Genomic DNA, 27330 nt, shown 5'->3' on the forward strand with positions numbered 1-27330 from the left:
CTCAGAGGTGTGGTAACTTATCCAAGGTTACCTGGTGAGGCTGCGTCTGAGCAGAGCTTCAGGCCCGGCTGGATGTAACGTGATGAGGCTCTTTGCTGGGTTTTCAGCCAGTCTGTGCCAGCGAGGACGGGCAGCATGCCGGTCCGGTGGTGCGTTGGAATAGTCCTGACTGCTCACACACTCGCTGATGTTACTGTTTTCATTCAACAATCATGGCTTTTTCCTGGATGCCAGCTTTCCTATTTGCAAAGCAAAGAAATTAAAAGCAAAGGTCTGACCTCTTTGCTAATCACCTCTAAAATGCCATGACTCTAGTCAGGGGTATTGATCTGGGGGGTGCGCCCCACTGAGTCGCCATTGATTGCACATTGTGTTTCTGTTTGACTAGTCTAACGGCTGAGACAAAGGACACATGTGTTTAACTGAACTGCATTTCTCTCTTAAGGAAGATTAAGAGTTCCCAGTAAGGGATCGTCAGCACAGCTTGATTGTGGTGTGATTTTTGTGGTGGGGCCTGTCGCTAAACATTTTTGGAGTTCCCAGCAAGCATCTGAAAAGTGAGTGCTTGTGACTGGATAGCAGCTTCCTCACAGGGCGCACAGCAGTAGACAAGGAATCCAGGCAGGGCCTCTAGACTCGCCTTGCTTTCAAAAGACTCCTTGAATTTTAAATGCTCTGTGTTGGCATTTCCACTGAAATGTCGTTCATCTGGCTGTGGAGAGGACTTCCCTTTGAGGCATAATCCGAACACGAAATATAGCTGACAGGGTGGAATTTCCATGGCCCTTCTTTCTGCCCCGCTGTTCTCATCTCCCCTCGGGCCCCTGGAGCCTCCAGCCCATCAGCTGTGCTGCCACACTGCTGGTACTCAGCTGAAGCTTTCACAATTTCTGTTCTGGATGTGTCATCTGACAAGCCGAATTCTCTCTTCGGGCTTCTGGGGCTGACAGTTTTCATGTTCACCTCCTTTTCCATGGTCAGTGTCATGGGATCTCTTCTTGGTGGAGAAGCCATGCTGCTTCCACATTCCCCCGCAGGCTTCTGCAGCATGCATCCGCAGGCAAGGCCTCTCCTGCAGCCACACATTTATTTAACACCTGTTGTGTTCCAGGCACAGTGCTAGGCTCTAGAGGTGGTAGATGAATCATACACATTTCTTGCCCTTAAAGAAATCACAGCACAGGGAGACAGACAGTGATGCCCCATTATGTGTGCTAAGCACGCTGACAGAAGCTCAAAAACATGGTTATACCAGAGGTTCTGAGTTATTCCAGTGTTAGGGTACAGACTGAAGTCAACAAAGGCAAAGAGCACTTAGAGCAGAGGCCAGGAGATACCAGGCACCAGCTTCCAGGTGTCCCCTCCTGTGGAATCACATGGACGATGCTTCAGTCACTCTGCCTCAATATGTGACACCTGTGAAATATTGCCAACCAGATAAGTTCCCCAAGCCTTGGTGTTCAGGGTGGAGGTCAGTTATTTAGGCAGGCAGCACCCACAAGACTGACCTTAGTTGCTCAGTCTCTAGCCCCTCCAAAGGTCAGACTAATACAGTGTAGTTCAAGCCCCCACCCCCCAACCATAAATCACATTGTTGGGGGAAATTATCTGGCATGGCCCAAGGCCCTAGATACACAAAGTGACTCTGATCAGTCAGGATATTCCTAGGGCTTAAAGGTGATCTTGTAGGAGCCGGTCAAGGGCCAGTTCTCCCTTTGGAATTTGTAGTGTTTAAACATCCCCAAGCCTTAACTGCACAGATGAGGAAGCTTAAAGTAGGACCCAACCTATAATGTGGGGCAGGCCAGGAAGGAAATGGTTCAGAGAAACCATTCAGAAGGAGGCTCTCCCTGAGGCCTAAGACCTGCAAGTTAGCCTTGGTAAGGAACAGTTTGGTAAGAGCTTTTGGGAGAGAGGACTAACATAAACAAATGCAGAAGGATGTAGGAAGGAAGGGAACCTGTGTGCCCTGAGCCCCTGTTCTGGGTACTGCATTGGATGCTTTCAGTCTGCAGCAATTGCAAATAGTATGAAATGAAGAGCACTGCAAGAAATGAGGCTAGAGACAGGCCGGCTGCAGCTCCCTGCTAAGAAATATGAACTATTGGCCAGGCACAGTGACTCATGCCTGTAATCCAAGCACTTTGGGAGGCCAAGGCGGGCAGATCACAAGGCCAGAAGTTTGAGACCAGCCCGGCCAAAATAGTGAAACCCCGTCTCTACTAAAAATACAAAAATTAGCCGGGTGTGGTGGCACGCGCCTGTAGTCCCAGCTACTTGGGAGACTGAGGCAGGAGAATTGTTTGAACCCAGGAGGCAGAGGTTGCAGTGAGCCGAGACTGCGCCACTGCACTCCAGCCTGGGCAACAGAGCAAGTCTCAGTCTCAAAAAATAAAATTAAATTAAAAATAAAGAAATATGAACTATCCATTATACTTGGAGCTGTGGAGAGGTTTTAAGCAGAAAGTTTTTGTGGCTACTTTGCTTGCTTGCCTGCTCTCCCCTCTTAGAGATGATCATAAGTAGAAAATGCATTTAGTACGCCTAACCTACTGAACATCATAGCTTAGCCCAGCCTACCTTAAATGTGCTCAGAACACTTACATTAGCCTGAAGCTGGGAAAATCATCTGACATAAAGCTGATTTTATAATAAAGTGTTGAATATCACATGTAATATTGTACTAAAAGTGGAAAAACAGAATGGTTGTGTGGGTACTTGAAGTACAGTTTTTACTGATATGTACCACTTTTGCACCGTCGTAAAGTCAAAAAATCATATGTCAGCCGGGTGCGTTGGGTCACACCTGTAACCCCAGCACTTTGGGAGGCCGAGGCAGGTGGATCACAAGATCAGGAGAGCGAGACCATCCTGGCTAACATGGTGAAACCCCGTCTCTACTAAAAATACAAAAAAAATTAGCCGGGCATGGTGGTGGGTGCCTGTAGTCCCAGCTACTCGGGAGGCTGAGGCAGGAGAATGGCATGAATCCGGGAGGTGGAGCTTGCAGTGAGCCGAGATCGCGCCACTGCACTCCAGCCTGGGTGACAGAGTGAGACTCCGTCTCAAAAAAAAAAAAATCATATGTCAAACTATCGTTATGTCAGAGGCCATCTGTATTTATTTTTAAAGTTATATACAGTAAAAGGCACACTTTTTGGTGTACAATTCTTAGAGTTTGACAGACACATGCAGGTAACTACCCACCATAATAAAAATATAGAAGAGTTTTATTGCCCCAGAACATGAGTGAGGCCCTTTGTGGTCCATTCATTCCCCAACTCCAGTGCCTCGCTGATCTAGACTCCATCCCTAGGGATTTGTCTCTTCCATGATGCCGTAGAAATGGAGTCATATCATGTTGCCTTTTGACTGGCTTCTTTAACCTCATGTGTTGCGTTTGAGATTCATCCTCATGTTGTTGCATTTATCCTTAGGTTTTTTCCTCTTAGTTGCTAAATAGTATTTCAGCAAATGGATGTATCACAGTTTGTCAACCATTCACTAGCTGAAGGATACTCAGATTGTTCCTACTTTTAGGGTGTTACAAATAAAGCTGCTGTGAACATTAGTATGTGAGTCTTTGTATGTACGTAAGTTTTCATTTCTCTTGGGTAAATACCTAGGAGTGCATTGCTGGGTTATATGGTAAGTGCGTGTTTCACTGTATAAGAAACTGTCAACTCTTTCAAAGTAGCTTTACCATTTTACAGTTCCTCTTGATATATATTCTCACCAACACTTAGTATTGCCAGGTTTTTTAAAAGCCATTCTAGGTTGGGCATGGTGGCTCATGCCTGTAATCCCAGCATTTTGGGAGGCTGAGGCAGGTGGATCACCTGAGGTCAGGCGTTCGAGACCAGCCTGACCAACATGGTAAAATCCCATCTCTACTAAAAATACAAAAATTAGCCGGGCATGGTGGTGCACACCTGTAATCCCAGCCACTCGGCAGGCTGAGGCAGGAGAATCGCTTGAACCCGGGAGGCGGAGGTTGCAGTGAGCCAAGATCACATCATTGCACTTCTGCCTGGGCAACAAGAGTGAAACTCCATCAAAAAAAAAAAAAAAAAAAAAGAAAAGCCATCTATTAGGTATGTAGTATCTCATTTGGTTTTCATTTGCATTTTCCTAGCAACTCCTAATGCTGAGCATCTTTTCATGTGGGTGTTTGGCATATGCATATCTTCTTTGTTGAAGCATCCAGACCCACATAATTTTTATTGGATTGTTTGTTTTCTTATTGTTGTATTTGGAGAGTTCTTTATATATTCTGAGTGCAAGTACTTTGTTAGATATGTGATTTGCAAATATTTATTCTAGTCTGTGGCTTGTGTTTTACTTGCTAATAGTGTCTTTTGCTGAACAAAAGTTTGTAATTTTGACGGAATCCAATTTTTCATCTCTCTGTCTTATAAAACATACTTTTGGTGTACATCTCAGAAATCTTTATGTAACCTGAGGTCACAGAGAGTTTCTTTTATGTTTGTTTCCTTCTAGAAGGTTTTACAGTTTTATATTTTGTACTTAGATCTATGATCTATTTTGAGTTAATTTTTTAAGGTTCAAGATAAGAGTGAAGGTTCATTTTTTTGCATATGCATGTCCAATTTTTATAGCACCATTTGTTAAAAAGACTTTTTTTCTCCATTAATTTCCTTTGTACCTTTGTCAAAAAACAACAGTCTATATTTGTGTTGGTCTATTTCTAGCTCTGTTCTGTTCCATGCTGTAGTTTTAAGTCAGTTATGTGAGTCCTCCAATTTTGTTCTTCTTTTTCAACATTGTTTTAATTCTTCTTCTTTTTTGCCTTTTCATATACATTTTAGAACCAACTTGTCAATATCAGTTAGGTGCAGTGGCTCACGCCTGTAATCCCAGCCTTTGGGAGGCTCAGGCGGGCAGATCACGAGGTCAGGAGTTTGAGACCAGCCTGACCAACATGGTGAAACCCCGTCTCTACTAAAAATACAAAAATTAGCCAGGCGTGGTGGCGGGCGCCTGTAATCCCAGCTACTCAGGAGGCTGAGGCAGGAGAATTGGTTGAACTTGTGAGGTGGAGGTTGCAGTGAACCGAGATTGTGCCATTGCACTCCAGCCTGGGCAACAGTGGGAGACTGTCTCAAAAAAAAAAAAAAAAAAAAAGAATCAACTTGTCAGTATCTACAGAATATCCTCTTGAGTTTTGATATGGATTGTGTTGAATCTGTAGATCAGTTTTGGGAGGATTGAAATCTTAACAGTATGGAGTCAGTTTAGAAACATCATACATCTGAGGCGAGGCGGCCACGCCAAGAGCTCTCCACCAGACCTCACTGCAGTGCCTATACATTTTGGTGAATTCTTCTCTTCTCGACGTTTCCAATATATTTTCAAGTTCCTGGGTCTGCCAGACAGTGACTTTCCTAAGTAAAATCTATAGTGCTGGGGGCCCCATAAGCCAGGTACTAGGCCAGTTTTTCCAACAGGCCTTTATAAGCATTGGCTCCATAAAGTCAACCTTAGCTTTTTAAAAGTGTCTGGTTATGTTTAATTAAATGAACATCATTCTCAAATAAGTCATTCCAGGCAAGGCCTCGGGTTGTATAACTAATGTTTCTAATAAATGTCCTGTTAACAAGGAAGACAGATTCTTACTGAACCTATGAAATAATTATATTGCCGCGAAAATAAGAATACTCAGTAAGAATTTCCAAATTCTGAGGGCTTGGGCAGGAGAAAAATATATCACTTACAAATGTTTCATTTCAGTTTATAAGAGCATAGTCTACTAAAGGCCTACTAATGAGTTAAAGATACCTTGAAAGAAAAGAAAAAGGAGATCCTTATATTCCAGAAAATAGAACATTAAAATATCAGCAATGCTCCTAATAATAAGAGCCACAGTCACCTTCTTGAGTTCATTTGGGTTTATGTGATTAATCCTTGCTCCACTCTCTCTTGGGTTTGCAGTTTCTTGAACCTGCATTCAGAACTAGAGTTCTGGAAATCCTGACTCAGTCCTCTGTTGTGGTCTCAAAGTTGTTGACATAACATCATCAGAAGCCTGCACCCAAGAGTTCTTGGCAGGGCCCTTTCCAAAGAAGAGACAGACTTCTTTGTTGAAGAAGCACTCAGGCTAGTAGCTGAAACTTCAGAACAAAACAAAAACCTATCTGTAAACTATCAGCGAAAGACTTAAAGTGGTTGTGGTTAATGTGTTACTGATAATTTTCAAAAGTGAAAGATCTGCTGAGAGCTCATACTAAGGATAGTGCAACTGACAAGGAAATGTGATTGTTTCCGCAATATACAAAACAAGATAAAATCAATAAACAAATATGAGACAACAAAATTATATAATGATTAAGCTTACTTTCAAAGAAGATAGTTAACATTACACCTAACTATAGAAATGGATGAACATAATCTTTAATATCTTCAGATACAACATATTATAATCCTGACAAAATTATATCATGAAAATACTAAGCATACAGTTGGAATATACAAAGATTATACCAAGAATATCTATAAAGAGATTCAGTAAGTCTAGAGCAAGCTCTAAACATCTGTATATTAATAAACCTCCACAGGTAAGTGATGTGAACCCCCAATTAAAACTGCTGGCCTACAGGAAGGATGCAAATAAAAGAAGTAAAGTTGCAATCAAGTTAACATTTAAAAAATAAATGAGGCCGAATGAGGTGGCTCATGCCTGTAATCCCATCACTTTGGGAGGCTGAGGCAGGCAGATCACGTAAGGCCAGGAACTCAAGACCAGCCTGGCCAACACAGTGAAAGGCTGTCTCTACTGAAAATACAAAAATTAGCTGGGCATGGTGGTGCAAGCCTGTAATCCCAGCTACTTGGGAAGCTGAAGCAGGAGGATTACTTGAACCTGGGAGGTGGAGGCTACAGTGAGCCAAGATCATCCCACTGCACTCCAGCCTGAGTGGCAGAGCAAGACTGTGTCTCCAAATAGTAAATAAATAAATAAAATAAATGAAATTATGACTGCTGGCCCCATACTAGCACTTCTTGCAAGTTACTCTTTGATACCAGGCAGAGGAGCACCAGGGCTCTGATAAGTGGATACCCATCATGGACAGTGAAGCTCCAGGAGCTTCCCATACAGCATAACATTTCCAAAATATTTACCATTTTACCCATGCATATCTGACCTAGAGAAGGCTCAGCATCTCTTCCAATTCGACAGCTCTTCCCATTCAGCTAATCAGCAGTAACATATCCAACATTACATATCAAAACTTAAATATTCCTAGCACTTGTTTTGTCTGCAAGGTGAGAGAATAGATGATTTATACTTTCCAGGGGCCTACTGGGAAATCTCAAAGATAATTTTAGGTACAAAAGTTATCATTTAGTGTTTGATTTTGGAAAGGCAAAATATCAAAGTTGTCTGTTGTCTGTTATCAGAAGTCATCTGATTTAAACACTGATTAAGATAGAATCTTGCTGGGTGCAGTGGCTCATGCCTGTAATCCCAGCACTTTGGGAGGCTGAGTAGGACAGATCCCTTGAGTTCAGGAGTTCAAGACCAGCCTGGGCAACATGGCAAAACCTTGTCTCTACTAAAAAAAAAAAAAAATTAGCCAGGCATGATGGCACACACCTGTCGTCCCAGCCACTTGGGAGGCTGAGGTGGGAGGATTGCTTGACCCTGGGAGATTGAGGCTACAGTGAGCCGAGATCACACCACTGCACTCCAGATGGGGCAACAGAGTGAGATCTTGTCTGGAAAAAAAAAAAAAAGATAGAAACATGGGCTATCAAGAACAATACTTGGCTAACTATTTGACCAAAGTGACAATAATTTTTTTTCCTTATCAACCTTGCCCTACAGGTTTTATTTTATTAAAAATAAAATATATTTAAATGAACATAACTGTAAAGAATCCTAGCTCTTTTTGTTTGTTGTTTTTATTTTTTGAGACAGTGTCTGGCTCTGTCTGCCAGGCTGGAGTGCAATAGCATGATCTTGGCTCACTGCAGCCTCCACACTTTCTAGGCTCAAGCGATCCTCCCACCTCAGCCTCCTGAGTAGCTAGGACTACAGTAGGCACACGCCACCACACCCAGCTATTTTTTTTTTTTTTTTTGTATTTTTTGTAGAGACAGGGTTTCGCTATGTTGCTCAGGCTGGTCCCAAGCTCCTGAGCTCAAGCAATCCACCCGCCTTGGCCTCCCAAAATGCTGGGATTACAAGTGTGAGCTACTGCACCCGGCAACTTTTTTGAGTAAGAAATTTTTGTTTTCTGAAATACTCAAGGGCATGACAAACTTAACATAAAACACAAGAATTGATTCTGATAATACACAGAATCTCTGCCATCTGAGTAGATTCCACAGAAAGCAACAGATAACCTTCTACAGCCTCTTGACCTATAATCCAAGAATTGTTTAACAGAGACTCAATTTTTTGCATCAGTATATTATTTGATACTAAAGTTCTTTTTCCTTTTCCTTTAAAAAAAAATAAGTTAGTCTCAGGTGTAAAGCTCTTTTTTAAGAGCAGCGTCTGTGACCCCCAGGGGTTGCCTTGGGTACATGGACGGATGGACGTGCTGTCTGAGGGCCGCAGTCCAGGACAAATAGATTTGGATGAGGGAAATGCTGAATTAAGTTCTGGACACGTGGACAACTTGGACTTAGCAGTGAGGATCGCATCCTCTCCTTCCAAGTGTCTAAGGAGCTAATTGTGTGAATCATTTTTAAATTTTCTGTATTTCCTGATGCTTTGACATCTTGGGGCCTTCCAGACCCTGGAGACTGCCCCTCGGAGGGCTAGCTAATTCCTAGAGACAGCAGACACCCACCTGAGAGCATGCTCTTCAGATGCAAACCACCAGGCCACAGCCCTTACTCTCAAAACCTCCTCTGCTGGGCTCTAACCTGCTGAGCCACTGGGCCCCTACCTTAGTCATCCCAGGCCCAGGTACCAAAAAACTCGGGACAGCCCTCACTCCAGAGCCTCTGGAAATTATTCAGACCCAGCCCATCTTATGCCTGCCTGCCCCACTTTGCCTTGCCTTTCCCATGGAAGTGACTCTTGTCCCCATTGCCCTGCTCCCTGCCTCCAGTCCCACCTGTGCCGCCCAGAAGGCTGCACGTGGCATGCCCTGCACCCCACTTCTACAGAACTGTAAGTAAAACTGGAAGAACTGTAATGGCTTCCTTGACAGCCATTTCCATGTCTGTGTATCTTACCACACATGACTAAAACAAATCCCTGGCACATTTTAAAACATGAACTGCTCTGAGAGTCATTGCTTGGCATCCAGGCCTGGCACTGAGGCGTCACTGTCCCATCACAGTGCTCTGGGCGGTCAGAGGCGGAGGACTGCTGAGGGAGGTGGGCAAGGAGAAAGGACGGGCGCTCAGGAGGGTTCCACTCCATTCTCACTGCAGTTGTTTCTTAGGTAAGAAAGATGGGGGCTCCCGGAGGCTAAATAACTGTCCCATGGGGGTCCGTCACAGGCTGGCTGCTGGAGTAGCCCAGGGTCGACCTCAGGTCTATCCGAATCCCGTGTTTACTCTGCTCGGACTGCCTCCAGTCTCTGTGAAACAAGTGAGGGAATGGACACATGGAGAGGTTGTGCAAGGTGATGAGTGTGAAGAAGAAGCTCAGCCATGTCCTGGAACATCCCAGGGTGTGTGGCCCAGGGCATTGGTCTTGAGGGATAAGAGGGAAAAGGGATCCATGAGTCAGATATGTTGGAGAGTGTGGTTAAACATCGCAGAGCCTAGGACGTTCCTGTTTGCATCTAGAGCTCTCAAAACTCATTCGGCCCCAGAATCGTGTGTGTGTGTGTGTCTGTGTGTGTGTGTGTGTGTGTACACATCTGTACAACTAGTTTCCTGAGGATCATACTTGGAAAGTGCTTTAGTTTCCTGCTTGCACCTGCACGCAGACGCTGCACACCTTTCCTGAGCTCTGAGCATGGGAAGAGAATAGTTAGGCAGTCGGGAGGCCTTTCAAGCAGCCTTCTGAATTTCGGTCACTAAAGTCAGCCAATAACTGTGCCAGCCAGTGATTCACAGGGAGGAGACAGGGAAATAGGAAGGCAGGTGTGAAAAGCCTCACTCCACGAAATTTCAGAAATAAATACGAGTCCTAAAATCTCAACCAAAAACTCGACGTGTAGGATGTGGTGGAGAAGGAAAAGGTGGGGTCTCAGACTGGGGGCAAGAGCTGGCAGATGGCAGGTGCTGGCTCCCGCAGAAGAGGGCCCATCAGAAAGCCAAGCACAGCCTCGCCTGCAGAGAGCCCAGAGGGAGGCAGTGATGTGTGTGTGCATTGTGTATGTTTGGCGTGTTTGTGGTGTGTGTCTGGTGTATGTGAGCATGGTGTGTGTGTGGTATGCATTAGTGTGTGGTGTGTATGGTGTGTTAGTATGTGTGGTGTGTGTGATGTATGTGTGGTGTGTTAGTGTGCATGGTGTGTTTGTAGTGTATATTACTGTGTCTGGCATGTGTTTGCAGTGTGTGTTAAGTGTGAATGGTGTGTGTGTTGGTGTGTGGTGTGTTTTGTATGTGTGTTACTGTGTGGTGTGTGTGGTGTGTTAGTGTGTGTGGTGTATGTGATGTGTTTGTGTGATGTCTGTGTATGTTAGTGTGTAGCGTGTTGTGCTTCTGTGTATTGTGTGTTGTGTTTGTGGTGTGATATGGGTGGTTTTTGTGCGGTGTGCGTGTGATGTGTGTGGTGTATGCTGTGCATGTGTAGTGTGTGGTATGTGCTAGTGTGGTGTGTCAGTGTTAGTATGCATAGTGTGTGTTTGTGTTTGTAGTTGGTGCGTTAAGTATGTGGTGTGTGTAGAGTATGGTGCCTATATTGTGTTGCGTATGTTGTGTGTGTTGTGTGATGTGTTTTTTGTGTATGGGGTGTGTTTGTGTTTTCTATGTGGTGTATGTTGCGTGTGTGTGTAGTGTTTATGTTGTGTGTGCTTTGTGTGTATAGTGGTTTTATGATGTGTATGTATGTTGTGCATGTGTGGTATACATTGTGTGTATGTTCTGGGTTTTGTGTGTTGGGCATGTTACATGTATGTTGTGTATGTGTGGTGCATATGCGTTGCATATGTATGGTGTGTGCTGTGTGTGTTTTGTGTTTTGCATGTGTCGTGTATGTATGGTGTGTGTGTGTGCGCTGTGTGCATTGTGCAAACGTGTTTTTTTTGCATCTTGTGCGTGTGTGGTGTTTCATGTGTATGTGTGTATGTTGTGTGAGTTGTGCATGCATGGTGAGTTGTGTATGTGTCACCAGGGGTTTGGTCTAGGTTCTGCTGCCCACCACACAGAAAGCCAATCACTGAGACAACAAGTATTGCCAAGGAAGAAGGCTTTAATCAGGTGCAGCAGCCAAGGAGGTGGGAGCTCAGGCTCAAATCCATCTCCCTGACCAACTAAAACTAGGGCTTTATGTAGGAGGGAAGAAATGTAACAGTGTGTGAGAAAATAGGGCCTAGGGAGGGGCAAGGAGGCATCTGATGTGGTGATCTGGTGAGTTTCACTCCTTTGACACTTCCTGAGATCCCTTTTCTGAGGAAGGAACTCATATCAAACAAATACAAGTTTCAAGCTTTAACAGCAGAAGGATCCATTTCTATGTTTATCCAAAAGCAACTGTCTATGGGACCCTCGGGCTGGTTTCAGTCCCCCCTTTCTATTTATCAGTTCCACAATCATGAGGAATCTCGTCATTGATCTTTCTGGCTGCTTCATGCTGAGGAGGGGTGTCGTGGGCAGCTCCATACCATGGCTGACCATGTAGCCACCCAGGAATCGAAGGTTAATCTAATATAGAGTTTTCTTCTGACATACAATATTTCTCCCTGGTCCACACTTCTGCCAAAGACAAATCACAGCAGGACCAACCTAGCTGCATAATAAGTGTCAGTCCCATATTCTTGGCCTGATTACTCACACAAAGTGCAACAAGAATCACTGTCCATATAGATTCCCAAGTTGGCTTTGCTGGAACATCTCACAAGACTATTTCAGTCAAAGCCCTGAGAAAATAACCAGTCCCTTCAATTGTGTCGCATTACAAAAGAAAACATGGTCTTTGTGCAAAGAATTACACATTGCCATGAATGAAGAATATTCACGAATAGTTTACAAATTCTGGAGAAATTAGGCAGAGAAATATGACTCAAATTCTGTTTACAAAAGTATACTCAATACACTTAAAGTATATTTCAAGGCTATAAATAGCTCCAAAAAAAAAAAAATTCTCCAGACTCTGAAAAACAAAACAAAAAGAATCAGCAATATTTCAAACAACAAAAGCCATAAAAAAAATTATTTCTGTCCTGCAGTAGTTCAGTCCATGCAGTCACCTCCTGCTCTGCTTCATATTGGGTTAGCAATCTTCAGGAACACATCAGCCTTTCAATTTGTGCAGTGGAAGTTCTCCCTCTAATCCAATGGCACAATCTCCAAAGTTATCAGAAACCTGCACTCACGAGTCCTTTTCAAGAACTCCTCCAAAGAAGTAAGCCTTGGACTGTAGCTAATTCTAAGCCAGTTTTTTTTGAGAAGGATCAAAGTAAAACATCAATTGTGGATGACAAAAGTCTTAAGACAGCCATAGTTAATGACACCGTTGACAGGAAAATTTGGTTATTTCTGTGGCATACAACAATTTAACGTGACAATCATAACTATTACTGACAACATATATTAAGGCATATCAGAATTTTAGGAATCTCATATAATCCTAGAACCCATGTTAGCAACACATCTATATAAATATAACTTGAAGGAAGCTAAACACCACCTCAGATTTGACAATGCTTCCTGCATAGTTCTAATATAACAAGCCTAATAATCCCAACCATGTCTCTCTTGAACTTCAGGGAACCTAATATCCAAAAAGTTTAGTTTGAGGACAAAAAGACTGAATTTAAAACTTGAAATTGGCCAGGCGTGATGGCTCATGCCTGTAATCCCAGCACTTTGGGAGGCCGAGGTGGGCAGATCACCTGAGGTCAGGAATTCAAGAGCAGCCTGGTCAACATGGTGAAACCCCATGTCTACTAAAACTACAAAAATTAGATGGGCTTGGTAGCGGGAGCCTGTAATCCCAGCTACTCGGGAGGCTGAGTCAGGAGAATGGCTTGAACCCAGGAGGTGGAGGTTGCAGTGAGCCAAGATTGTGCCGCTGCATTCCAGCCTCGGTGACAAAGCAAGACTCCATCTAAAAAAAAAAAAAAAAAAAAAACCTGAAATTTTGCTGTTAGAAAATCTGTCAGATTTCAAAGGTTTCAGACAGACACCCAATATCACAAAATAGGATCACAAGTTTCTATAAAATAGTCATTCAGGTAGCGAAAATTATAATATAAAATGTTTACGCTTTGATAGAGAGGAAACTTTCTCAAACAATAAGACCTAATACTTAACTATCATTCTCTCTAACATGTTACAAATTAAAACAATGTAATTGGTGTTTAGAAGTTACTGCCAGCAACACTTCAAACCACTGTATTAAAGTAGTTAGGTTACTCATCACATATGTCTAATTGCTAGTATTCTAGTAACATAACTGTAAACAAAAACATAAAAAACGTTGTAAGTCTGGATGGGCATGGTGGCTCATGCTTGTATCCCCAGCAATTTGGGATGCCGAGGCAGGTGGATCACTTGAGCTCAGGAGTTTGAGACCAGCTTGGCCAACATGGTGAAACCCCATCTCTACTAAAAATACAAAAATTAGCTGAGCATGGTGGTGGGTGCCTGTGGTCCCAGCTACTTGGGAGGCTGAGGCAGGAGAATCACTTGAGCCCAGTGGCAGAGGTTGCAGTGAGCCAAGATCATGCCATCCACCCTGTGTGACAGAGTATGACCATGTCTCAAAAAAAAAAAAAAATTATAAGTCCTATGCCAGACTTAGCAAAATAAGACTAACTAACATTTTTTCTTTATCATTAAAAAATGATAAATGCAAATATCAGTTTTGGAAATTTAGTATGAGAAGTAATCTTTCACTTAAATACTATACAACGAAACAGGGAGAAAGTAAGAATAAGCACACAGCAATTTCTTTTCAGCTATTTTGAAAACACATCAACACACATTTCTAAGATTGGTTTCTAGATACAGTACTGACGACTGGTTAGGCAACCTTCACCACTCAAATCTGTAAACCAGTGCAGCATGTGCACATAATTTGTTTTCAGGTACATACATGAAGGCCCATCAGTGATAAACAGCTTGAGATCACAAATCACCAGGAAGTCTCACCTTTTTTAAAATTACTAATTAATCCAAGTGAATGTCACTTTAAATTAGTTTGAGAGAAATTCTACTCAATATAATTTCCTTAAGGATAAGGCCAATCTTTCCTGAATATTAAAACCATGTACCCATATCACAGTTTTTCTTCACCACCTAAAGGAAAAGATCTGAAACCAACTCAAATTGTTGATTGAATTGAGTTACCTTGAATATAAACACCATTGAAACATTTCTGTTCTCACCTACTTTTGCCAAATTACAAAATTTGTAATATGCTATTTCTGTTCAGAACTTAAGTCTTTTATTATTTCATTTTTTTGTGGCTGGGAACCTTAAAACTCTCATAGCTCTGTAGATCATTAGAGGCAAGCAAATCCAACCAAATTTCAAATGGCTGTTGTGCTCCATCCATTCCTGAAGACCAAACAAAGATAGCCTGGGAATTCTAGATAAATAGAACAAATAATGACTTGCTAGAAATGCATAGGAAACAAAATAATTATTCACAGAACCAAATAAATGCCTTCTACTAAAAACTAAAAAACATCAGTTTTATATCTACGCATACACAAGAAAAACCCAAAGGAGAACAAACAGCAACAAATAAAAACTAGAAGTGAAAATAGGCCTGTAATCCCAGCACTTTGGGAGGCCAAGGCAGGCGGATCCCAAGGTCGGGGGATCGAGACCAGCTTGGCCAATATGGTGAAACCCCGTTTCTACAAAAAATACAAAAGTTAGCCAGGTGTGGTGGCAGGCGCCTGTAGTCCCAGCTACTCAGGAGGCTGAGGCAGGAAAATAGCTGGAACCTGGGAGGTGGAGGTTGCAGTGAGCAAGATTGCACCACTGCACTCCAGCCTGGGTGACAAAGCGAGACTCCATCTCAAAAAAAAAAAAAAAGAAAAAAAAGAAGTAAAAACAAACAGGAAACAGACCCCCCATTCTTTTCCCCACTCAGTTACCCTGGAGGCTGCAGTGTTACCCAGAGTCAAGAAAACCCCACATAATGAATATTTTATTCCTGATCACACAAGTCAGTATCCTTAAGTCCACCAATATTACCATACATCCTGTGCAATCAAGAAATTCATTCTAGGCACATGGCCAGTAAGTACTCTAGTGCCAGCACTATCCATGCAAAACAACAAACATAGTGTGAAGCAATACAAACATGTACACTAAATCTGGCTTCATGCTTAACTACAGTAAAAAAGAATTGCCAAACTGCCAATACATTTTTTTTTGAGATGGAGTCCTACTCTGTCACCGAGGCTGGAGTGCAGTGGCATTGTGTTGGCTCACTGCAACCTCCATCTCCTGGGTTCAAGCAATTCCCCTGCCTCAGCCTCCCTAGTCGCTGGGATTACAGGCACCCACCACCACGCCCTGCTAGTTTTCATATTTTCAGTAGAGACAGGGTTTCACCATGTTGGCCAGGCTAATCTCGAACTCCTGACCTCAGGTGCCTCAGCCTCCCAAAGTGCTGGGATAACAGGCATGAGCCACCATGCCCGGCCTGCGTTTTTTTATAATATTTATTTTATTTTAATCAGGACTGAGAGCTTTAACTATGAAAATGTTAATTAGCCAAATTTCTCCAATTGTCTATCAGGTTTTAAAGAATGCTTTACTATCTAAACTTTTTCAACTTTCTATTTTGTCTGTATGTGCATGAAGATAGACACACAGAGAAACAGAAAAAAATTACATGTGACTTACACAGATTATCCATGACATGCCTGGGCTTTCTGTTCAGTCCCAGATTTTTTCTTCCTTCTTTTTTCGCCTCCTCCTCCTCCCCCTTCTCCTCCCCCTCCTCCTCCTTTCCCTCCTCCTCCTCCTTTCTTCTTTTCTTTCTTACCATTTTACTGTAGGCCAAAAGAATTTACCATACAAGATTCTTTCTCATACAAAATTAGCTTTTCTTTATAACCTTCCTTACCAAAAATACATCTTCATATATATAACTTTTTTCACATCTCTCTCCCTTACTTACTGATTCCTACTGCCTTGTTTCATAAATAATCTTTTTAAAGGTGTAATTTGAACTAACTTTTAGATAACTTCTGAATTAGACAAAATTACTGTTTTTCTAATACATCTTTTGGCACATTTATATACAGAATTACTATTAACTATAATTCTTATCCTTAGTAACCTTAAATTTTAGTGAAACCCTAAAAAGCAAGAAATCCTGAACTATCAGATATGAACATTTTATATAGTTAAGAACAGTTCCACAATTTTCAGAAACATATTTTCCTATATCACAAAGCTTTTTTAATTGGAAGCAACCTGCATATCTAATGAGCATCAAAAATAATTTCCAGATTTTAAATTACACAAAAAGTTTACCTAAAACATCCCATTTACATGTACTCAATTCTTTCATTTTTAGCAGTTTATCTAGATTACTTCTGAAAACTGAGAGATTAAACACCATCATTTAAAGTTAGTAATTTCCTTCTTAACAATTTTATAATCTGTGAATATCAGATGTTCACTGAAATAAGAACCTTAAAGTTAACTACATGGGCATTGTCACTAATAACTCAGAAGATTCAGCTGTTTTCATTAAACCAATAACAGTCTGACTTATCAAAAAATTTGCATGAAGATCATTTTGTTTTGGCCAGCTTTATAGTTTTATAACCTTCCATGCCAAACCCTGACATCTCAAAATATCTCCCAGAGACAAATATAAAAACCAGACAAAAATATATGCTGACAATTCTGAAGACATTCCTGTTTTCATTTTACCAACCATTTTAAAGCAAGCTAGTAAAGATTTACTTAAGTCACATGAACTTGAAAATAGCTTGGACTTAATTTACTTAATGTATGAGTGCTCTTTTATTTATTTTTATTTTATTTTATTTATTTAATTTTTTTTTTGAGATGGAGTCTTGCTCTGTTGCCCAGGCTGGAGTACAGTGGCGCCATCTCAGCTCACTGCAAGCTCCGCCTCCCGGGTTCATGCCATTCTCCTGCCTCAGCCGCCTGAATAGCTGGGACTACAGGCGTCCGCCACCACACCCGGCTAATTTTTTGTATTTTTAGTAGAGACGGGGTTTCACCATGTTAGCCAGGATGGTCTTGATCTCCTGACCTTGTGATCTGCCCGCTTCGGCCTCCCAAAGTGCTGGGATTACAGGCATGAGCCACAATGCCCGGCCTGAGTGCTCTTTTATTTATAAGCCAATTTGGTAGACACAACATATAACAATAAGTGTACATACAAATAAACACATATAGATATGCGTACACACACAAAGATCCAATAGCTTTTACCTTAGAGCTCTAGCAATGAGATAGCAATACAAACATACTGGTTTTACATGGTTACACTTCTTTTGCCCCAGTAGGTAATCTGGTGAAGGCTGTGAACCAAAATTTTGGGTAGTTTCCATAGCAGTTTGATTTTCAAAGGCCCAACCTCCCCAGACTCCAAAGAACATTGTGGCCAAACAGCACCAAAGGAGAGCACCACATACTAAGCAGGCTCAACCCTGCTTAGAACAGCAGCACAGAAACCTGGATACATGCAACTCCAACCCACTTTCCCATTTAACAGCAAACTCCACATTCCAAACGATATTGTGGCCAAACGGTATTGCAAAAGAATATCAAGTTTATGGCCAGGCGCAGTGGCTCACACCTGTAATCCCAGCACTTTGGGAGGCCAAGGTGGGTGGATCACCTGAGGTCAGGAGTTCAAGACCAGCCTGGCAAACATGGTGAAACCCTGTCTCTACTAAAAATACAAAAATTGCCGGGTGTAGTGGCTGCGCCTGTAATCCCAGCTACTCGGGAGGCTGAGGCAGGAGAATCGCTTGAACCCGGGAGGCAGAGGTTGCAGTGAGACAAGATTGTGCCACTGCACTCCAGCCTAGTTGACAGAGCAAGGCTCTGTCTTAAAAAAAAAAAAAAAAATCAAGTTTACCAAATTCTAATTTCCCATGACTATATCAGACACACACACACAATCGCCAGAACACAATCCAGTTGCTGCTGCAACAAACAAGCCCCAAGTGTCCAAACTGAAACAGTTGGGGTGCTTCCTTTCTCCATCGGTTAGGCTTTTGGTTTTTGCAAACAAAAATTCCTTAGGAATTTCCCAAATTGAGAGGAGCTGATCCTGCTGTCTGGTACCTACAAAAGACATGCACTTGCCCGCACACCACACAATTACAAACAAGCCCCCAAGAGTATCCATACTGAAACAACAGTCAGGGTGCTCCCCCATCAAGCTCTTTGCAGGGCTTGTTCAACCTGCAAATGGAAATTCCTTTAAAATTTTCCCAAACTGAGAGGAGCAGATCCTGCTATATGGGCCCAAAAAGGACATGCACCTCTTTGGATGTAGAGGTGCTTCTAGGAAGGGGCTTCTTCCAAGGCAATCAGGAATGCAGTCGGGGCCAGCTAAGGCAAAGCCAAAGAGAGATGGAAACTCGCTTCCAGCCAAAAGTGGGCAGGCAGCTTAGGAGGGCTTCTGAGACCCCAGGTCCAAGGCAGCGGAACCACAAACAACACATTCCTGGTCAGGGAACCAAAATCTGTTACCAAAACACCAGGGGTTTGGTGTAGGTTCTGCTGCTCACCACACAGAAAACCAATCACTGAGACAAGTATTGCTACAGAAAAAGGCTATAATCGGGTGCTGCAGCCGAGGAAATGGGAGCTCAGTCTCAAATCCATCTCCCTGACTGACTAAAACTAGGGGTTTATACAGCAGGGAAGAAAAGTAACAGTGTGTGGGAAAACAGGAACTAGGGAGGGGCAAGGAGGCATCTGGGGGGGTGATGTGATGAGTTTCAGTTCTTTGATACTTCCTGAAAGTCCTTTCCTGAGGAAGGAACTTGCATCAAGCAAATACAAGTTTCAGACTTCAACAGCAGAAGGATCCATTTCTATGTTTATGCAAAAACAACTGTCTGTGGCACTATTGGGTAGGTTTCAAGTGTCTTGTGTGTGTGGTGTGTGTTGTGTGTGTTTTGCATGCATGATATGTGTTTTGTGTTGTGTGTGCATGTTTTTTGTTGTGTATATGTTGTGTGTGTTGTACGTGCATGGTGTGTTTTGTATATGTTGTGTGTGCGTGGTGTGTATTGTATATGTTGTGTGCATTGTGAGTGATGTGCGTGCGTAGGGTGTGTTGCATGTGTGTGTTGAGTGTTGTGTGTGTGTGGTGTGCACTGAATGCATATGTTGTGTGTGGTATGTGTTGAACATGTATGATGTGTGTTGTGCGTGCATGTTTTGTGTGTTATGTATAGTATATGTTATGTGTGTAGTGTGCATGACGTGTTTTGTGTGTGTTGTGTCTATTGTGTGTGCATGTAGTGCATGGTGCATGTGTATATTGTTTGTGTGCATGGTGTGTGTTGCATGTGTATGTTGTGTTGCACGTGCATGTGTGTGCATAGGGTGTGTTGCATGTGTGCATCGTGTGTGGTTTCACTGCCTTTCTCTGCATCAGCGTCCCTCTTTGTGGGCTCTGGCTGGAATGGGCAGCCCAGGGCCCCAGGTTGCATGTGGCAGTGTGTTCACATGGAGAGGCCTAGTGTCTGCACTAAGGGAGGATTCTGGCTGCCCTGGCCTGGAGGCACAGGCTGAGTCCCCACTGAGCCAGACAGACGTTCTGGGAGGCCTCCTTGTGGAGCTGCTAGTCTGGTTAAAAAGATGCCATTTATACAAGTGCAGCAGAGGACTCAGATTGCTAGAAAGCAGCTCAGAGGGCGCTGGGGCCTTCAGCAGGGAAGAGGCCCTGTGCTGGCCAGGTGGAAAGGGATCTGCGCCGCCTGGTGTGAGAGTGCAGCTGTTCTGTACACAGGAGGCCATGAGGGGCAGCCAGGGTGACCACCGGACGGTCTTGGGACCCTCCACCAGCAGCAACTTGGGCCCAGCGGGAAGAATGAAGAGTCGCCCTAAGCAAGCAGGATTTTGAAGGAGCTAGATGTGAGACAACAGAAATAATAATTTGGGGGAAATTAGTCACTTCATAATTGTCTGCAAGTCCCTGCTCTCCCAATAGTTCCCTTTCTCTGGCTGCCTTCTTTCTCCTGCTTTTGGCAGGACATTAGCAGGCTCTGAAGCTGCCTAGGCCCGCAGGAGAGCCTTGGGTCACACAATCCTAGGTGGTTTGCACCAGGAGGTGAAGGCGGAGGACCACAATCTCGCCCTGAAAATCTGCAGGGAATTGAGAATCCTTACACAGCAAGCCAACGCTGGCTCTTCTGTGCATCCCCCCGTGGTCCTGCAGCAGCCTCTTGAGTGCTGGGAAGCACAGCTGTGCTGGACCCCCACAGTGGGGAGGAGCCACTGCAGGCAGAGGCCTGGCCTGCTGCAGGGCCAGGGAGCAGAGCTGTGGGCAGCACTGCACTGCCTGGTACCACACACCATCTGGGCAGGTCGTGGGGAGCTGGCTCTGGAAGGAGGAAGGCTGCCCTGCCTTCCCAGATTCCAGAAGGACTCCCCAAGTGCTAGAGACAGTGGTGGACTTTGTTCAGCTTTCTCCCTGGGGTCCTGGTGTGTCTGGAGTTGGTTCCCGCCCGGTGGGTTTGTGGTCTTGCTGACTTCAAGAATGAAGCCACAGACTTTTGCGGTGAGTGTTACAGCACTTAAAGATGGCACGGGTGAGCGGTAGCAAAAGAGCGAAAGGACAATGCTTCCACAGCATGGAACAGGACCCAAGGGGGTTGCAGCTTCTGGTTGCTGGTGGCCAGCTTTTATTCCCTTATTGTCCCCGCCCATGTTCTGTTTCTGTCCTATCGGAGTGCCCTTTTTTCAATCCTCCCCATTATTGGCTACTTTTAGAATCCTGCTGATTGGTGCGTTTTACAGAGCACTGATTAGTGCATTTTACAATCCTCTTGTAAGACAGGAAAGTTCCCCAAGTCCGCACTCGACCCAGGAAGTCCAGCTGGCATCACCTCTCACTGGCTGAGAGCCTGCAGACCCCCAGCAGTGAGCACTGTGAGCTAGGCCAAGGCCAGGGTGGCTGTGGGATTGTCATGGAAAAATAATGTGAATGTAGTGAGAGATATGGATTAATGCTCTAAGCATCAGAAATGATCTTTGAATTTATTTTAAGAGACGTCTTGGGAGCTGTTGGAGTACTGTAAGGGAAGCTGGGCTTGGGAGCCACACAGACGCTGGGCTTGGACCCCAGCTGTACCACTCACTGTGACAGACTGACAGGTGACCTAATTCTCTGCGGCAGACTTCTCATCCGTAAAATCAGGAAGATAACATGATTCCAAGGGCGTTCATGAGGATTAAAGGAAGTCATGCTCCTAATTTACTGCCTGGCACACAGACAGTAAAATGCTCAATACATTTATGGAAGGAATGAAGGACTCTGGCAGAAAAACAGGTCAGATGTGTCTGCTGTGGACAGGTGGCTCTGTCGGTGCCCGGTGAGTGCCCTGGGAGTCTGGCAGTCACCTCCTCCGCAGCCGTGTCCCCAGGCTCACAGGAGCCACCTCAGGTGGGAAGCTCTCTGCCAGCCTTGGAAGACCAGACTCACAGCTCCAAGCCACGTGTGAGCAGGAGTGCTGCATCCCAGAAAGTGTCTGCCTCAGCAGGCTGGAGATTGGGATCCCCTATGAAATGGTGGTGTGTGGGCACTAAGAAAGGAGATTGGCTCTGTTTCAGAGACTTTTAAAATTCACTGTTACTGGTTTTTATTATTACCAAAGTAATGTATGCTGATTATAGAAATTTTACCAAAAAAATCATTCCAAATCTCCAACCCAGAAACAATTGCTATGAACATTTTGGTGTGTATTGGCTAGCTTTGGTTCTGTGTATATGCTTTTTTTATGAATGAAGTAGAGCTCACAGTGTACGCTTTATTTCATGACCTGTTTTCCCCCACTTAATAATATATTGTGGGATTCACTGGATGTCACTAAATATTTCTCAACAATATTATTTTCATGGCTACATGTTAGTCCATCATACAGATATGTCATACTATTTGTAATCAATATACTATTGTTGACCATCTAGGTTGTTTTTAATTTTCTAGTATTTTAAGCCACATTGTAATGAGTATTCTTCTCCACATATATTTGTGTGTGTGTGTGTGTGTGTGTGTATATATATATATATATATATATATATATAGAGAGAGAGAGAGAGAGAGAGAGAGAGAGAGAGAAAGATTCCAAAAATATAATTATTTTCTTTTTTCTTTTTTTTTGAGATGGAGTTTCGCTCTTGTTGCCCAGGCTGGAGTGCAATGGCACGATCTTGGCTCACTGCAACCTCCACCTCCTGGGTTCAAGTGATTCTCCTGCCTTAGCCTCCTGAGTAGCTGGGACTACAGGCATGCACCACCATGCACGGCTAATTTTGTATTTTTGGTAGAGATGGGGTTACTCCATGTTGGTCAGGCTGGTCTCGAACTCCTAACCTCAGGTGATCTGCCCACCTCTGCCTCCCAAAGTGCTGTGATTACAGGCGTGAGCCACCGCACCCAGCCTCCATAATTATTTTCTGAAGACAAACTTCCAGAAATGGGTTTGGTGTATCAAAGTGTATATAAATTTGAAGGTTTCTGATATAAATTTGAATGAGATTTTGACTGTAGTTTTTTTAACCATGTGCTTTGAATCCCTAAAACAGGATTATCTTCTATTTTCAATCACTTATTAGAGCTGTTGTGTTTATGTTAGGAAAATATACAATATCATAAATAACATACCTTACAAAACAATAGAAGCATTTCATATTTTTAGCATTGCACATGACTATGACTTTGAAAAGAAAAAAGAACAAGTGTCAAAACGGAATAGGAAAAGATTACCCATCACCTCTCTTCCCAGTTAGATCAATTTGTAACATTTTAGCATACTGTATTTCCTTCCAGATTTTTGTTTTCTGTGCATTTAGTCATAGCTGGGATCACCCTGTAGCCTCCCTTCCATATTTCTGCTGGTATGATTTGTGAGTGGGGTGAAGTGCTAGGCTTGTCTCTGTCAACTTTATGACGGCGGGGCCTGTGTTTGACCCTCCTTATGTCTGACATCGGATTAGCACTGGCCTGAGCAGGTTATCTAATCTGGAGCCTGAGTTTTCTCACCTCTAAAATGGGACTAATGATACTCTGTGAATGGAGATATTGAATGGACAGCTTCTAGTCCAGTATTTGGCACATAGTGAATACTTAATCCATGTTTAATCTTTCTCCAGCTTCCGCTAAGGACCATCACTGATGGTTATGATGTAAGGCTGAGGTCACCATTCCAAATATCAAGAACTGGTCAGGAACTGTGAGGGTGGAAAAGGTACAGGAAATTAGCCCACTTAAGTAATGATCCCTGGATAGTAACTGAAGTTTTTGAACAAATTCTTAATAGCACTTTTATTATTTTTACTTTTTTAATGAAAATGGACAGTGTACAAAATTTAAGCTTCTTTCTGCTGAACTCAATTCCATTTCTCTTTTTAAATCTCTGTAGCTGAGGGGAAAATATGTCTTACAAACAGTTTGAAGAGATGTGTTAAAGCATTTGTGCATAGAAGTGTTTTGGGCATTGGTAAAAAAGAAAAAAGAATTGAAAAGTTCACCAGTCTGACACTTAACACAGCAAGATTCCATTATTTGTCTGTTAAAATAGATTTATTATTATTATTATTAGCTTCTTGGTGAGTTTTAGAACCCTAGAAGGTGCAATCCAGCTAGCATTTTGTGCACTGGGAAAGAACTTCCCAGTTCTGCAGGATGGTGAGCTGACTTGAAAAACTCTTGCTATAAAACCCTAGTTATGCTGAATAAAAAACAACAAAAGTTACCTTAAATGTACAGCTAAACTCGTAGGAATCAAAGTGGGAGGCCCTGAAGAGGAGAGTTGAGGATCCCACAGTGATTCTGCAACCGGTAGGGAGGAGATGGAGATTCAGCCTGGGAAACACAGCAGCTGGAGTCATTATCCACTTGGGAACAGATTGGGACCCATGCAAGGCTTAGCGATGGAGCTAAAGACCTTACTCAAACCTGAGACCCTCCGAGAACTCAGTGGAAGAGTGGGTTGTTTTTTCCCTTAATTCTTACTATCTTTGAATTATTGGTAAAGGAAAAATTCTCCCCTTGAGAATTTGAAATCTTAGACATGTACCTCACACAGATATAGGGTTCAGATTTACATCAACTCACACAGTCTGCAAATTGGGAAATTTACAAATTGAGAAATAATCTAAAATTTGGTTCCTATTTAGTGATACAGGGCATTTGAGAAAGTTATATATCCAGCAGGTGTTCAAAAAGGAGAAAATAGACTAAGACAATATTTGAAAAATGAATGGATACAGATTTTCCAAAATGAAGGAGAGATGTGAATCTTCAACAATAACAGTGTGCCACTCATGATGGTGTGGAACACCAAAGACCAAGTAGACAATATTTAAAGCAATGAGAGAGATGTATGGGTGGGGGCAGATGACCCACCAAAGGATACTAGACCGAAAACCTGCTTATTAGCAGTATTGAGAGGTGACAGAGTGCTGGCAGTCCTCACAGCCCTCGCTCGCTCTTGGCGCCTCCTCTGCGTGGGCTCCCATTTTGGCGGCACTTGAGGAGGCCTTCAGCCCACCACTGCGGTGTGGGAGCCCCTTTCTGGGCTGGCCAAGGCCGGAGCCCACTCCCTCAGCTTGCAGGGAGGTGTGGAGGGAGAGGCGCGAGCGGGAACCAGGGCTGTGTGCGGCGCTTGCGGGCCAGCTGGAGTTCGGTGGGCGTGGGCTTGGCGGGCCCGGCACTCGGAGCAGCCGGCCGGCCCTGCCGGCCCCGGGCAATGAGGGAATTAGCACCCGGGCCAGCGGCTGCAGAGGGTGTACTGGGTTCCCCAGCAGTGCCAGCCCACCCGCGCTGCACTAGATTTCTCACTGGGCCTTAGCTGCCTTCCCGCGGGGCAGGCCTCGGGACTGCAGCCCGCCATGCCTGAGCCTTCCCCCGCCTCCATGGATTCCTGTGCAGCCCGAGCCTCCCAGATGAGCGCCACCCCGTGCTCCACAGCGCCCAGTCCCATCGACCACCCAAGGGCTGAGGAGTGCGAGCACATGGCGCGGGACTGGCAGGCAGCTCCACCTGCAGCCCCGGTGCGGGATCCACTGGGTGAAGCCAGCTGGGCTCCCGAGTCTGGTGGGGACGTGGAGAATCTTTATGTCTAGCTCAGGGATTGTAAATACACCAATCAGCACTCTGTATCTAGCTCAAGGTTTGTAAACACACCAGTCAGCACCCTGTGTCTAGCTCAGGGTTTGTGAGTGCACCAATCGACACTCTGTATCTAGCTGCTCTGGTGGGGCCTTGGAGAACCTTTGTGTCCATACTCTGCATCTAACTAATCTGATGGGGACGAGGCGAACCTTTGTATCTAGCTCAGGGATTGTAAACGCACCAATCAGCGCCCTGTCAAAACAGGCCACTGGGCTCTACCAATCAGCAGGATGTGGGTGGGGCCAGATAAGAGAATAAAAGCAGGCTGCCTGCGCTAGCACTGGCAACCTGCTTGGGTCCCCTTCCACACTGTGGAAGCTTTATTCTTTCGCTCTTTGCAATAAATCTTGCTACTGCTCACTCTTTGGGTCCATGCTGCTTTTAAGAGCTGTAACGCTCACCGCGAAGGTCTGTAGCTTCACTCCTGAAGCCAGCGAGACCACGAGCCCACCGGGAGGAACAAACAACTCCAGATGCGCTGCCTTAAGAGCTGTAACACTCACGGGGAAGGTCTGCAGCTTCACTCCTGAGCCAGCGAGACCACGAACCGGGCGGGAACACCAGAAGGAAGAAACTCCGAACCTATCCGACCATCAGAAGGAACAAACTCCAGACGCGCCACCTTAAGAGCTGTAACACTCACCGCGAGGGTCTGCGGCTTCATTCTTAAAGTCAGTGAGACCAAGAACCCACCAATTCTGGACACAGTATCAGTGCAAGCCAGGAGAGAATGCAACAACTTTAAAGTATTAAGGATTATTTAGCTGAATAAAGTATTATTCAAGAGTGAGGTTAAAGTACAGACATCGGCCAGGTTCAGTACATCACACCTGTAATCCCAGCACTTTGGGAGGCTGAGGTGGGTAGATAACATGAGGCCAGGGATTCGAGACCAGCCTGGCCAGCATGGCAAAACGCCGTCTCTACTAAAAATGCAAAAATAAGGCAGGCGTGATTGTGCACATCTGTAATCCCAACTATTCGGGAGGCTGAGGCAGGGGAATCGTTTGAATCCTGGAGGCGGAGGTTGCAGTGAGCTGAGATAGCGTCAGTGCACTCCAGTCTGGGCAACAGAGCAAGACTGTTCAAAAACAAAACAAAACAAAAATAGACATCAAGGCTGCTCTCTTTTCCAGTACAAGCCTAAGGCTATATATTTTCCTCCAAGCAGTTCAAGTTGCATTCTAACAGTTTTTTAATCATTTTAATTATCATTCAGTTTGAATATTTTCTAATTTTAATTGAAATTTCTTTTTGACCCATGAGTTATTGAGAAGTGTATTAATTTTCAAATATACACAGATATTCTAATCAACTTTTTAAAAAATTTCTGGCATATTTGTATTAGGATATAGAAAAATTTTGTATGATTTCAACCCTTTGAAACCTTTTGAAACTGCATTGACTTTCACAATAATTTTAGTGTTTCATATGTACTTAAAAAGAATGTGTATTTTCTTCTTGTTGGGTGCAGAATTTCATTTAGGTCAAATCTCTCTGTCTTTGTCTGCTTGTTTTATCAGTTGCTAAGGAAAGTATGCCTAAATCTTTCAGTAGGATTTTTATTTTTTTCTATTTGCTTTATGTATTTAGAGGCTATCTTAATAGAAGCATACAAATTTAGATTTTGTTATCTTATGTATTAGCCTTTATCATTATTAAATGTTTTTCTTTTTCTCTGGTAATGCATTTTGTCTTAAAGTCTACTTTGACATAAATTCAGCTATTCTAGCTTTGTTTTGGCTAGAGTCTGTAGGACATATCTTTTTTGGTTCTTTTATTTTTTAATTTTTTGTTGGTTTGTTTTTGAGATGGAGTCTTGCTGTTACCCAGGCTGGAGTGCAATGGTGTGATCTTGGCTGTCACTG

At 43.6% G+C, this 27330-nt stretch overlaps 1 protein-coding gene across 7 annotated transcripts in view, besides 2 other annotated features; it reads left to right on the plus strand.

Moving 5' to 3' along the window:
* The window catches only part of ARHGEF4 (Rho guanine nucleotide exchange factor 4), a 210340-nt gene that overhangs the window by 129618 nt on the left and 53392 nt on the right, over positions 1-27330 (plus strand). The window lies entirely within an intron of this gene.
* Positions 132-751: an enhancer, noted in NCBI's record as "OCT4-NANOG hESC enhancer chr2:131724236-131724855 (GRCh37/hg19 assembly coordinates)". NCBI's record gives its function as "activates a minimal SCP1, AML or CMV promoter by ChIP-STARR-seq in naive H9 embryonic stem cells {active_cell/tissue: H9 hESC(naive)}" and the evidence as "EXISTENCE:reporter gene assay evidence [ECO:0000049][PMID:30033119]".
* Positions 19432-20250: an enhancer, noted in NCBI's record as "H3K4me1 hESC enhancer chr2:131743536-131744354 (GRCh37/hg19 assembly coordinates)". NCBI's record gives its function as "activates a minimal SCP1, AML or CMV promoter by ChIP-STARR-seq in naive H9 embryonic stem cells {active_cell/tissue: H9 hESC(naive)}" and the evidence as "EXISTENCE:reporter gene assay evidence [ECO:0000049][PMID:30033119]".

Source organism: Homo sapiens, chromosome 2 (assembly GCF_000001405.40).
Source record: "Homo sapiens chromosome 2, GRCh38.p14 Primary Assembly".
NCBI lineage: Eukaryota > Metazoa > Chordata > Mammalia > Primates > Hominidae > Homo > Homo sapiens.